Below are 13,615 nucleotides of genomic sequence, written 5' to 3'. Positions count from 1 at the left end.
GTGGGTGAGGAGAGGGTGAGAGCCTGGTGCACAGCCAGTGCGGGAGCCCCCTGCATCTGTCCCCTTGCTCCAATGACAGCTCCCGTGGGGAACAAAGCTCGAAGCCTCTCTCCTCGGCAACACAGGGCAGAATTTGTCCCTTGTTTGGTTTTTGTGGCCACTGCCCTGGGCCTCCCTACCCTCTGCTTCGCACGAGGTCCTGGTCTTCCGCCCTTAGCTGGCCTCTGCTCCTCCTCCTGCAACTCCTGCTCCCTGGGACTCTGAGGTCCATGTCGCCCTTGGCTCCTCACTCTCCTGCTGTCCTTGACACCTGGTGTCTTAGTCTTCACACACACGCAAGAACACACATGCACAGGTGTACATCTTCCCACAGTGCAAGTCGTTCTCTCTGTCCAAGATGGAGAAGACATGAGAATGAACTTTAGCCAGGCTCTCCCCAGGATCTCTGTCGTGGGCTCCAAAGCCCCTGGAATGAGACGGAGAAAGAGCCGCTGGCGCTGGCAGCAGCTCGGCCCTAATGACCAGATGGCCACACTCACCGCCACGCACGCCAGGCATTGCTGTGGCCTGCCCTGGAAACTGCCTGGGCTGGCGTCTCCTTGCCCCTCCAAGACAGCGTGCCAGCCAGCACCCCCTGGGGAACAAAGCAAAGGGGAAACCCAGGGCCCTGGGCCGGGCACAGGCAGGCTGCCTCCTGCGTGCTCAGGGCTGAGTCACCGGCACTAGCCCAGCCTGGGGGCCGCTGACCACTGCTCTCTGCAAGTTTTGATGTGATGTTCAACTCAATCCCAGTAAGTGCTGAGAACCAGGCAGCTGTTGGTGCCTCAGTCTCACAGGGGGCAGGGACCAAAGCCCCTGCAGCTCCTGAGGGAGAAGAGCTGAGGCCACGCAGCAAGGATCAGGGCGAAGCCACCAGGCAGGATGCACCCCAGCTTGGTAATGTGTGGCCGTTCTGATGCCTTCGCTGCTGGTTACAGGAACTCGAGATGGAAAACCTGCTGGAGTGTCCCAGCAGTCCCCCGGCAAATGCAGACTACGTCACGTGTAAATAAAAGCCATGCATTCTGAGGACGAGGGAGGGGCCCCAGAGCTCCTTAGAATCCCATTCTGGTTCTGACTCCTTTGATGGCTCTTCTCAGGCCTTCATCAGGATTGAGATCACATCCCTCAGCTCTTCCCACCATTTTTCTTTAGCCTTCACTAAAAATTGCACTTTAATTTTTTTTTTTTTTTGAGGTGGAGTCTTGCTCTGTTGCCCAGGCTGGACTACAGTGGCTCGATCTCAGCTCACTTGGTCTCCCGGGTACAGGCGATTCTCCTGCCTCAGCCTCCCAAGTAGCTGGAACTACAGGTGCGCACCACCACACCTGGCTAATTTTGTATTTTTAGTACAGACGGGGTTTTGCCATGTGGGCCAGGCTGATCTCAAACTCCCGACCTCAGGTGATCTGCCCACCTTGGCCTCTCAAAGTGCTGGGAATACAGGCATGAGCCACCGTGCCCAACCTTAAATTTCTAAAGAAAGCTTTGTGTTGTCAAAATCTGTTTGCTATAAGACAAATGGAAGGGGGCGTGATTTTAGGAGGTCGGCACAGGACCCCACCAACCACCCTGGTCTGCCTGGCACAGAGGCCTCGCTCCAGGACACAGGACTTCCGGGGCTACACCAAGGGGAAGTCCTGGGCATATCCAGAGCAGGGGGCCCCAGGTCAGGCCCACACACAGGCAGGAGAGAGCAGTGGGCACAGGCCCTGCAGATTCCGCAGTCGAGGACACCAGTCCCTACACTGCTGACCACGTGGGGAAAGTACTCCTTATAAGGCAAAAGAAAAAAAGCCTTGGGTGTTGTTGAAAAACACAAACCACCGTTCACAGTGTGAGGTGGAAACCAGCGGAACATGGAGCACCTGTCTTCCTGGTGGGCGTCTTGGGGGATAAAGTGTCTTGGTGCCCCTCGTGGGACTCAGTGAACCTTCTCTTAGGAATTACCAAACACGGCTGAAATCTACTTGTATTTTTATCCGAACTGACTAACAGCGGCCAAATATGTTTAATGTAGTGACGAGAGCAGTGAGAACTGCAGGTGGCATCTTGGAAGGGCTCCTCTTCCAGCCTCCTTTGCTTGGCATGTCAACAAAGAACACGCGGTCGCCTGCATCTGCAAACAGCACATTCTTGCCAGGTCATGATAATATTGCAAAAGTTGTTGGGGTGCCAAGACGGGGAGGGCATGACGGTTAGATTCCATCAGGCAAGTGTGAGCTCGCTGGAGATTTAGAAAGAAGGCTTATGAAAGATATTCAAATCTGATTGTTCAGATCACGATTCCTCCTGCAGTACCGGGCATTCACTGATGTGAGCGGGCCTCTCACTTGACAATACTCGGAAGGCAGGGGTGAAGGCTACAAGCGGACGAGGCCAGCATCTAGCATCCAGCGTCCAGTGAACTTACTGGGGCAGGGCTGTGGGGATGGTGAGACTGGAGGTGGAGCTGCACAGACAGCAGGGCTGACCTCAGAGCACGTGATGCGTCGTGCTTTTCCCGTGTGAGGTGACAGCGCTGGCCCTGAGGACGGTCGCTTTCAGCTCTAAGCATTAAGAATCCGGCATTTCTAATGCTAACAGCACTAACCGGTTCACATGGATATTATGCTGCGCTGTGGAGGTGGTGGCCATGAGCTGGGTTTTCCGGCAAACAATGGCTGGTTGGGAGAAACATGATCTAGGTGTCCCTAAGGGAGCCGTTCTCTATCTGGAAGAACGTGATAAAAGACTAAATTTAAGAAGTAAACTATGTTTACGAAGTCCATTCAGTTCAGGAGTCCAAAAAACTGCATGTAAGACCTGTTTGACCTCAGCAATGTCCTTAGCGGGTTGGGTGAAGGCAGAGGAAGCCCGCTAGGCTGTGGTTGTGCAACACAGTGGCACATGTGTGTCAGCCCTGCCCGTCCCACAGCACAGTGGGGCCAGGCACCTCTTCTCCTCCTCCAGGCTCTGGTACCTTGGCAAGAGTGCTGGGCTGGGCTGGGCAGCTCCAAACCAGGTAAATGCTGGTGTGTGCCTGGAAGTGGGAGTGACTCGTGCTTCCCGGAATGGCTCGAGGTAAAGTCTTCTTTTCGGCTGCTGGTTTCTTGTGAACGTATTGATCTTGGAGGCTGTCCCTTTGCGTGGCTGATTCCGAACGTGTTGATTTTGGAGGCTGTCCCTTTGTGTGGCTGATGGCTTCCTGTCTTCTTGTGCCCTTCCCAGCAGGTAGCATTCCTGTGGGGTGCAGTGCTCCCCAAGCCCACTTGGCAGTGCAGAGTCAGCTCTGGTGCACCTGGAGAGGAGAGTGCCAGGCACAGGGAGAACCAACCCCAGGGATGGCCGTGTCCTGCCTGAGCACCTGGGAGCTGGCCTGCCTAGTATGCGATGCATTCATTTTCCCTTATTTGATGTTCAGAATAGGGTGTCACCTGGCCTCCTGGGTTTACAATTAATAGTCTGTAGCCCAGGGACTTCCCTCTCCTGAGTCACAGCCTGCCATGCGTCTGCCCGGTGAGCAGATGGGACTTGTGCTGAGCCCTGCGGGCTCACGGGCTCAGGCTGTGACAGGCAGATGAGAAAGTGAATTCCAGAGTTATGCACATGCTGCCTCGCACACTGCAGGAATTCGGGGCTGCAGGCAGGGACCAGGAATGCAGGGCAGAGGGAAGCGGGGACAGTGTGGAAGGAGAGGCAGGCATGGACGTGTGTCGGCCCTGTCCCCAGCGGGGCCCAGGAGGCAGGGGTGGTCAGTGGGGCCACAGAGTCTCCAGGGACCTGAGCTGACAGGTAGCGACCTGCCTGCCTGTGTGCGGCAGCAGTGGGGCTGTCTTCTTTAGAGTATGGGCCAGGGGCCAGCCCAGACATTACTGTCAGCACAGACGCTCTTTTAAGGGGAAGGGGCAACTCTAGAGGAGAGGCCCAGACCACAGGCTGCGGCTGATAAGGAAGGCTGCTGGCCTCCCTGCTGGCTGCCTGGTGCTGTCGTTGCCGGCCCAGGAAGTGTCCTGGAAGCGACACACAGGCCTGGCCCCTAGAGCTGCTGCTGCAGGGCCTGCCCTCCATAAGAAAGATTAAAAATGACATTTTACAACCGCATCGGAAAAACATGAATACATTTGTATACAATCAAACATTTTCTTCTACCTCCCAGTTTGTTTTCTTCCTTCTTATTTTAAAAGGGATGAAAACATTTCTGTGGGGCCCTGACAGTCCTGTGGACTCAGGCCCTGCCCTGGGCACCTGGTGGAGAGGCCGTTTCATCCCATCCCATCCTGGGCATGTTGGGAGCAGTGACAGAGCTCTGCACCTGCTCTACACCTTGTCTGTGATCCTGCAGAGACTGTTGGCTTCCTGCGTGGCTCAGGGACTCTGTCTGTGGAAGGGGGCTCACCCTGAGCTCCCTCTGGGCCTTGCCTTGTGGGGCTGACATTGGAATTACTCACGCTCACGGCTGCGGAGTCCTGTGCCGCGTGGAGGGCTGAGAGCAGCTGAGCCCTCACCTGGGCAGCCGGGTGTGCAGGGTCTCGTGGTGGGAACAGTGTGCGGATCTGGGGGCCCCCGGCTGGAGGTGCTCCTCAGAGTCACTGTCAGGTGAGATGCTGGGAAGGAGGCAGATGAGGCCAAGAACTCGAGACGGATGGAGGTCAGGGCTCTGGGGCATCCTCCTGCCTCCCTCGGCTGGTCCACTTCCTGCTGTCCTGGGCCGCCTTTCTACCTTAGTTCTCGCCTTCTCTTTGAGGTTCCTCTCCCCTCTCCTCTTTCTCCTTCCATTTGTCTTTAAAACAAATTATTTCTTCTTTGTTATAATAATCGCACCATCTTACCAGGCCTGAAATGAGAGTTGAGGCAATTCTCGAAGCAAGTACCCTCAAGGTGGGTCTCATCTCTGTTTCGGGAAAATAATCACAAGTTTTTTACTTTTAACCCTAGGTGGCTTTCTGGCTGTTGGCCCTACCCACAGGAAGCCCCACCCAATTGCTGGGTGAACTTGAGGTTGCCAAAGCTGGACCCAGACTGGATCAGAAGGGTTGGCCAGCAGAGGCCTGGCAGGACCCTGGCCCAAGGGAGAGCAGGCCAGAGGGAGGTGGATGCTGCTCCTGCAGCTCCATGGGCATGGGGACCAGGGGTCGTGGTGGCGATGGTGGGAGGAACCCTGCTTGGCACTGCCTGCGGGTGGAAGGAAGGCTGGGGACAGGTGGCCGTGCTTCTTCCGCACCAAGGGCTGGTAAATATTTGTAGGCAAACAGCCCTGGCACTACGCGCAAGCCTGAGCGAGGCTTCATTAAACACAGTTTCTGCTTCAGATCGTTAATTTGTTTTAATTAGGTGTCCACCGGTCCAAAGGGATTGCACAACAGGCTTTAAGTGGGTGGAATGCAGGATGTGGCTGCAGCCGCAGATGGGCTCGGCGGGGAAGGGGCGCGGCAGACAGAGGGGAGGTGCGGGCGCGGAGGGCGGGCTTCTCAGGGAGGAGACCCTGCCCAGGTCTGCGTCCTCTGCTGCTGACAATGGCACCGACCGCCTTGTGGGGGATGCTTGGCAGGGTTCTCACCAACTGGGCTTCCTGGCCGTCAGCTGTGCGTTTTCGGCCCCCAGCCTGTCATTAATCGTGAACAATATTCTCAGTCACGATCTTTATTGCTTAATGAGCCTCGGTATGCTGTGGGCCCCATCAATTCTGAGTTCCATTATATGACTTCTGTTGTTGTTCACTATGGAAAAGGAGGGTGGGGTCAGGAAAAGAGATTAAACTCGTTTTCCTTCCCCACAAAATGGCAACAGGAAGGTGGGCTCAGCATAGCATGGTTCTAATCTGCAGAGACGTGACCCAGGGAGGCCGAAGAGGGCTCAGGAGCACATTGGTTCAGAGGCGGCCCAGGGAGTTTGTGTCATTTTGGACTTTAAATTACTTGTGTGCATACAAATTCCAGGTAGTACTGTTTTTAATATCCTACATTTTCCTCTATTTTTTCTTGTGGTAAAATACACATAACATACAATTTACCATCTTAACCATTTTTTAACTGAACTTTCATAAACCACATACTCTTTTAGATCTCCATGTCGCTTCTCTTCCAAAAGGCTCAAAAACACAAAACCTGTCTCTTTACATGAGATAATGGGAGCTGTGCATTCGAACTGCGAGGTCTGCTTCCACCACGGAGCCACCCTGCTGATGGCCCCATCCCTGGATGCACAGTAAACGCCTCTGGGGAGCTTTTAAAACTCGCTGACAGCCAGGACAAAATGCACAGGGTCCTTGGGAACAGGATCCCAGTGTGGGATTTCAACAGCGTCCCCAGGTGGTTCTGACTGAGTGAGAACTGTCAAACTCGAGCAGCAGCTCTTAGATTTCAGGTGCATCAGAGTCAGGGTGGAGACCCCAGGAGAACACGGGTTTCCAGAGCCAGCCTCAGCGTTTCCGACTCGTGGGTAAGGGCTGAGTCTGAGAATCTGGAACGCTGGGAGCTGCAGATGCTGCTGAGGCCGTGGTTCTGGAGACCCGGTTTGAGAGCCACGGGGTTGGATGGCGTCTCGGGCCTTCCACACAAACATGTGCACGTCACACGCTCAGGTGCTGCGCTTCTGGGGAAGAGCATTTTCCAGTTCGTTTTGCGGAGATCGATGCCTGGTGTGCCAGACAGCCACTCGCCTGCCGCGGGTTCCCGAGCGTGCTAACACAGTCCACTGGACTTTCTTTTTGTTCCCAGGCTAAAAGTCCAAATGCAACAACTTTCTCACAAAATTATACTTCTCTGAAAACCTAAGGAAAATGTGGACGAATGGGCAGCGAGGTTATTGTGCACGGATTAGGCAGCTGTGGCTCACGCTACTGGTTTCTGGGGCACACCACTGTGGCTTCTTAACCATCCCCGTCTGAGAACGCACTTCCCAGTGCTCACTGGGGTGGAACTTCCCCTTCATGTTTGAATAAAACGTTCTAACTGAAACTTCTCTTTCCTCTGGGATCCTCTCCGTCTACGGTCCCATTTCTATCCTCACTTTCTTAGTCGGAGTTCTGGAAAGGTGACCAGACGGCAGCAGCCCCTTGCTGGAAAGGCGCTTTCCTGCGCGGCTCCAGCCCCTCCGACAACCCCACCCCCCACCGCCACTTCTGGCCATCAAAGCCTTGGGCTTCTGCATCTAAGATTGGCAATTACTTTTCTAAAGCCAAATCTATAGTTGGATCTTTAAAACCACTTCACTCGGCCGGGCATGGCGGCCCACGCCTGTAATCCCAGCACTTTGGGAAGCCGAGGCAGGCGGATCACGAGATTAGGAGTTTGAGACCAGCCTGGCCAACATGGCGAAACCCCGTCTCTACTAAAGATACAAAAAATTAGCTGGACGTGGTGGCACCCGCCTGTAATCCCACCTACTCGGAAGGCGGAGGCAGGAGAAACGCTTGAACCCAGGAGGCGGAGGTTGCAGTGAGCCGAGATCGCACCATTGCACACCAGCCTGGGCAACAGGGCGAGACTCCATCTCAAAACAAAACAAAAAACACTGTCTGCTGATGACTCCAATTATAAAACAAAAACAGGTGAATATGGAGTCTTCGGTGCTCCCCGCCTTCCGGATCTCTCAGTACTGACTCCCCGTCTGGAGTCCAGTGCTCCCCGCCTTCCGGATCTCTCAGTACTGACTCCCCGTGTGGAGTCTTCAGTGCTCCCCGCCTTCCGGGTCTCTCAGTACTGACTCCCGTGTGGAGTCTTCAGTGCTCCCCGCCTTCCGGATCTCTCAGTACTGACTCCCGTGTGGAGTCCAGTGCTCCCCGCCTTCCGGATCTCTCAGTACTGACTCCCGTGTGGAGTCTTCAGTGCTCCCCGCCTTCCGGGTCTCTCAGTACTGACTCCCGGTGTGGAGTCTTCAGTGCTCCCCGCCTTCCGGGTCTCTCAGTACTGACTCCCCGTATGGAGTCTTCAGTGCTCCCCGCCTTCCGGATCTCTCAGTACTGACTCCCGTGTGGAGTCTTCAGTGCTCCCCGCCTTCCGGATCTCTCAGTACTGACTCCCGTGTGGAGTCTTCAGTGCTCCCCGCCTTCCGGGTCTCTCAGTACTGACTCCCGGTGTGGAGTCTTCAGTGCTCCCGGCCTTCCGGATCTCTCAGTACTGACTCCCGGTGTGGAGTCTTCAGTGCTCCCCGCCTTCCGGGTCTCTCAGTACTGACTCCCGGTGTGGAGTCTTCAGTGCTCCCCGCCTTCCGGATCTCTCAGTACTGACTCCCGGTGTGGAGTCTTCAGTGCTCCCTGCCTTCCGGATCTCTCAGTACTGACTCCCGTGTGGAGTCTTCAGTGCTCCCCGCCTTCCGGGTCTCTCAGTACTGACTCCCGGTGTGGAGTCTTCAGTGCTCCCCGCCTTCCGGGTCTCTCAGTACTGACTCCCGGTGTGGAGTCTTCAGTGCTCCCCGCCTTCCGGGTCTCTCAGTACTGACTCCCGGTGTGGAGTCTTCAGTGCTCCCCGCCTTCCGGGTCTCTCAGTACTGACTCCCGGTGTGGAGTCTTCAGTGCTCCCTGCCTTCCGGATCTCTCAGTACTGACTCCCGTGTGGAGTCTTCAGTGCTCCCCGCCTTCCGGGTCTCTCAGTACTGACTCCCGGTGTGGAGTCTTCAGTGCTCCCCGCCTTCCGGGTCTCTCAGTACTGACTCCCCGTATGGAGTCTTCAGTGCTCCCCGCCTTCCGGATCTCTCAGTACTGACTCCCGTGTGGAGTCTTCAGTGCTCCCCGCCTTCCGGATCTCTCAGTACTGACTCCCGTGTGGAGTCTTCAGTGCTCCCCGCCTTCCGGGTCTCTCAGTACTGACTCCCGGTGTGGAGTCTTCAGTGCTCCCCGCCTTCCGGGTCTCTCAGTACTGACTCCCGTGTGGAGTCTTCAGTGCTCCCCGCCTTCCGGGTCTCTCAGTACTGACTCCCGGTGTGGAGTCTTCAGTGCTCCCCGCCTTCCGGATCTCTCAGTACTGACTCCCGTGTGGAGTCTTCAGTGCTCCCCGCCTTCCGGATCTCTCAGTACTGACTCCCGGTGTGGAGTCTTCAGTGCTCCCCGCCTTCCGGATCTCTCAGTACTGACTCCCGTGTGGAGTCTTTAGTGCTCCCCGCCTTCCGGATCTCTCAGTACTGACTCCCGTGTGGAGTCTTTAGTGCTCCCCGCCTTCCGGGTCTCTCAGTACTGACTCCCGTGTGGAGTCTTCAGTGCTCCCCGCCTTCCGGGTCTCTCAGTACTGACTCCCGTGTGGAGTCTTCAGTGCTCCCCGCCTTCCGGGTCTCTCAGTACTGACTCCCGTGTGGAGTCTTCAGTGCTCCCCGCCTTCCGGATCTCTCAGTACTGACTCCCGGTGTGGAGTCTTCAGTGCTCCCCGCCTTCCGGATCTCTCAGTACTGACTCCCGTGTGGAGTCTTCAGTGCTCCCCGCCTTCCGGGTCTCTCAGTACTGACTCCCGGTGTGGAGTCCAGTGCTCCCCGCCTTCCGGGTCTCTCAGTACTGACTCCCGGTGTGGAGTCTTCAGTGCTCCCCGCCTTCCGGGTCTCTCAGTACTGACTCCCCGTATGGAGTCTTCAGTGCTCCCCGCCTTCCGGGTCTCTCGGTACTGACTCCCGTGTGGAGTCTTCAGTGCTCCCCGCCTTCCGGGTCTCTCGGTACTGACTCCCGTGTGGAGTCTTCAGTGCTCCCCGCCTTCCGGGTCTCTCGGTACTGACTCCCCGTCTGGAGTCTTCAGTGCTCCCCTCCTTCCGGATCTCTCAGTACTGACTCCCGTGTGGAGTCTTCAGTGCTCCCCGCCTTCCGGGTCTCTCGGTACTGACTCCCGTGTGGAGCCTTCAGTGCTCCCCGCCTTCCGGGTCTCTCAGTACTGACTCCCGGTGTGGAGTCCAGTGCTCCCCGCCTTCCGGGTCTCTCAGTACTGACTCCCGGTGTGGAGTCTTCAATGCTCCCCGCCTTCCGGGTCTCTCGGTACTGACTCCCCGTCTGGAGTCTTCAGTGCTTCCCGCCTTCCGGATCTCTCAGTACTGACTCACCGTCTGGAGTCCAGTGCTCCCCGCCTTCCGGGTCTCTCGGTACTGACTCCCGGTGTGGAGTCTTCAGTGCTCCCCGCCTTCCGGGTCTCTCAGTACTGACTCCCCGTCTGGAGTCCAGTGCTCCCCGCCTTCCGGGTCTCTCGGTACTGACTCCCGGTGTGGAGTCTTCAGTGCTCCCCGCCTTCCGGGTCTCTCAGTACTGACTCCCGGTGTGGAGTCTTCGGTGCTCCCCGCCTTCTGGGTCTCTCAGTACTGACTCCCCGTCTGGAGTCCAGTGCTCCCAGCCTTCCGGGTCTCTCAGTACTGACTCCCCGTCTGGAGTCCAGTGCTCCCAGCCTTCCGGGTCTCTCAGTACTGACTCCCCGTCTGGAGTCCAGTGCTCCCCGCCTTCCGGGTCTCTCAGTACTGACTCCCCGTCTGGAGTCTAGTGCTCCCCGCCTTCCGGATCTCTCAGTACTGACTCCCGTGTGGAGTCCAGTGCTCCCCGCCTTCCGGATCTCTCAGTACTGACTCCCGCTGTGGAGTCCAGTGCTCCCCGCCTTCCGGGTCTCTCGGTACTGACTCCCGGTGTGGAGTCTTCAGTGCTCCCCGCCTTCCGGGTCTCTCAGTACTGACTCCCGGTGTGGAGTCTTCGGTGCTCCCCGCCTTCTGGGTCTCTCAGTAGTGACTCCCGGTGTGGAGTCTTCGGTGCTCCCCGCCTTCCGGGTCTCTCAGTACTGACTCCCCGTCTGGAGTCCAGTGCTCCCCGCCTTCCGGGTCTCTCCGTATTGACTCCCCGTATGGAGTCTTCAGTGCTCCCCACCTTCCGGGTCTCTCGGTACTGACTCCCCGTCTGGAGTCCAGTGCTCCCCGCCTTCCGGGTCTCTCAGTACTGACTCCCGCTGTGGAGTCCAGTGCTCCCTGCCTTCCGGGTCTCTCGGTACTGACTCCCGGTGTGGAGTCTTCAGTGCTCCCCGCCTTCCGGGTCTCTCAGTACTGACTCCCGGTGTGGAGTCTTCAGTGCTCCCCGCCTTCCGGGTCTCTCAGTACTGACTCCCCGTATGGAGTCTTCAGTGCTCCCCGCCTTCCGGGTCTCTCGGTACTGACTTCCGTGTGGAGTCTTCAGTGCTCCCCGCCTTCCGGGTCTCTCGGTACTGACTCCCGTGTGGAGTCTTCAGTGCTCCCCGCCTTCCGGGTCTCTCGGTACTGACTCCCCGTCTGGAGTCTTCAGTGCTCCCCTCCTTCCGGATCTCTCAGTACTGACTCCCGTGTGGAGTCTTCAGTGCTCCCCGCCTTCCGGGTCTCTCGGTACTGACTCCCGTGTGGAGCCTTCAGTGCTCCCCGCCTTCCGGGTCTCTCAGTACTGACTCCCGGTGTGGAGTCCAGTGCTCCCCGCCTTCCGGGTCTCTCAGTACTGACTCCCGGTGTGGAGTCTTCAATGCTCCCCGCCTTCCGGGTCTCTCGGTACTGACTCCCCGTCTGGAGTCTTCAGTGCTTCCCGCCTTCCGGATCTCTCAGTACTGACTCACCGTCTGGAGTCCAGTGCTCCCCGCCTTCCGGGTCTCTCGGTACTGACTCCTGGTGTGGAGTCTTCAGTGCTCCCCGCCTTCCGGGTCTCTCAGTACTGACTCCCCGTCTGGAGTCCAGTGCTCCCCGCCTTCCGGGTCTCTCGGTACTGACTCCCGGTGTGGAGTCTTCAGTGCTCCCCGCCTTCCGGGTCTCTCAGTACTGACTCCCGGTGTGGAGTCTTCGGTGCTCCCCGCCTTCTGGGTCTCTCAGTACTGACTCCCCGTCTGGAGTCCAGTGCTCCCAGCCTTCCGGGTCTCTCAGTACTGACTCCCCGTCTGGAGTCCAGTGCTCCCAGCCTTCCGGGTCTCTCAGTACTGACTCCCCGTCTGGAGTCCAGTGCTCCCCGCCTTCCGGGTCTCTCAGTACTGACTCCCCGTCTGGAGTCTAGTGCTCCCCGCCTTCCGGATCTCTCAGTACTGACTCCCGTGTGGAGTCCAGTGCTCCCCGCCTTCCGGATCTCTCAGTACTGACTCCCGCTGTGGAGTCCAGTGCTCCCCGCCTTCCGGGTCTCTCGGTACTGACTCCCGGTGTGGAGTCTTCAGTGCTCCCCACCTTCCGGGTCTCTCAGTACTGACTCCCGGTGTGGAGTCTTCGGTGCTCCCCGCCTTCCGGGTCTCTCAGTACTGACTCCCCGTCTGGAGTCCAGTGCTCCCCGCCTTCCGGGTCTCTCAGTACTGACTCCCGCTGTGGAGTCCAGTGCTCCCCGCCTTCCGGGTCTCTCGGTACTGACTCCCGGTGTGGAGTCTTCAGTGCTCCCCGCCTTCCGGGTCTCTCAGTACTGACTCCCGGTGTGGAGTCTTCGGTGCTCCCCGCCTTCTGGGTCTCTCAGTAGTGACTCCCGGTGTGGAGTCTTCGGTGCTCCCCGCCTTCCGGGTCTCTCAGTACTGACTCCCCGTCTGGAGTCCAGTGCTCCCCGCCTTCCGGGTCTCTCCGTATTGACTCCCCGTATGGAGTCTTCAGTGCTCCCCACCTTCCGGGTCTCTCGGTACTGACTCCCCGTCTGGAGTCCAGTGCTCCCCGCCTTCCGGGTCTCTCAGTACTGACTCCCGCTGTGGAGTCCAGTGCTCCCTGCCTTCCGGGTCTCTCGGTACTGACTCCCGGTGTGGAGTCTTCAGTGCTCCCCGCCTTCCGGGTCTCTCAGTACTGACTCCCGGTGTGGAGTCTTCAGTGCTCCCCGCCTTCCGGGTCTCTCAGTACTGACTCCCGCTGTGCAGTCCAGTGCTCCCCGCCTTCCGGATCTCTCAGTACTGACTCCCCGTCTGGAGTCCAGTGCTCCCCGCCTTCCGGATCTCTCAGTACTGACTCCCCGTCTGGAGTCCAGTGCTCCCCGCCTTCCGGATCTCTCAGTACTGACTCCCCGTCTGGAGTCCAGTGCTCCCCGCCTTCCGGATCTCTCAGTACTGACTCCCCGTATGGAGTCTTCAGTGCTCCCCGCCTTCCGGGTCTCTCAGTACTGACTCCCGGTGTGGAGTCTTCAGTGCTCCCCGCCTTCCGGGTCTCTCAGTACTGACTCCCCGTGTGGAGTCTTCAGTGCTCCCCGCCTTCCGGATCTCTCAGTACTGACTCCCGTGTGGAGTCTTCAGTGCTCCCCGCCTTCCGGATCTCTCAGTACTGACTCCCGTGTGGAGTCTTCAGTGCTCCCCGCCTTCCGGGTCTCTCAGTACTGACTCCCGGTGTGGAGTCTTCAGTGCTCCCCGCCTTCCGGATCTCTCAGTACTGACTCCCGTGTGGAGTCTTCAGTGCTCCCCGCCTTCCGGGTCTCTCAGTACTGACTCCCGTGTGGAGTCTTCAGTGCTACCCGCCTTCCGGGTCTCTCAGTACTGACTCCCGTGTGGAGTCTTCAGTGCTCCCCGCCTTCCGGATCTCTCAGTACTGACTCCCGGTGTGGAGTCTTCAGTGCTCCCCGCCTTCCGGATCTCTCAGTACTGACTCCCGTGTGGAGTCTTCAGTGCTCCCCGCCTTCCGGGTCTCTCAGTACTGACTCCCGGTGTGGAGTCCAGTGCTCCCCGCCTTCCGGGTCTCTCAGTACTGA

At 58.0% G+C, this 13,615-nt stretch overlaps 4 annotated features.

Moving 5' to 3' along the window:
- Positions 1,972–2,190: a silencer, noted in NCBI's record as "fragment chr6:170536079-170536297 (GRCh37/hg19 assembly coordinates)". NCBI's record gives its function as "represses an EF-1alpha promoter that drives an FKBP-Casp9 reporter gene in an ReSE screen in K562 erythroleukemia cells {active_cell/tissue: K562}" and the evidence as "EXISTENCE:reporter gene assay evidence [ECO:0000049][PMID:32094911]".
- Positions 1,972–3,022: a biological region, named in NCBI's record as "H3K4me1 hESC enhancer GRCh37_chr6:170535247-170536227".
- Positions 2,042–3,022: an enhancer, noted in NCBI's record as "H3K4me1 hESC enhancer chr6:170535247-170536227 (GRCh37/hg19 assembly coordinates)". NCBI's record gives its function as "activates a minimal SCP1, AML or CMV promoter by ChIP-STARR-seq in primed H9 embryonic stem cells {active_cell/tissue: H9 hESC(primed)}" and the evidence as "EXISTENCE:reporter gene assay evidence [ECO:0000049][PMID:30033119]".
- Positions 4,985–5,966: an enhancer, noted in NCBI's record as "H3K4me1 hESC enhancer chr6:170532303-170533284 (GRCh37/hg19 assembly coordinates)". NCBI's record gives its function as "activates a minimal SCP1, AML or CMV promoter by ChIP-STARR-seq in naive H9 embryonic stem cells {active_cell/tissue: H9 hESC(naive)}" and the evidence as "EXISTENCE:reporter gene assay evidence [ECO:0000049][PMID:30033119]".

The sequence above is a fragment of the Homo sapiens genome, chromosome 6 (genome assembly GCF_000001405.40).
Source record: "Homo sapiens chromosome 6, GRCh38.p14 Primary Assembly".
Taxonomy (NCBI): Eukaryota; Metazoa; Chordata; class Mammalia; order Primates; family Hominidae; genus Homo; species Homo sapiens.
Note: the sequence above shows the minus strand (reverse complement) of the source record. Positions and strands in the feature narration are given on the sequence as shown.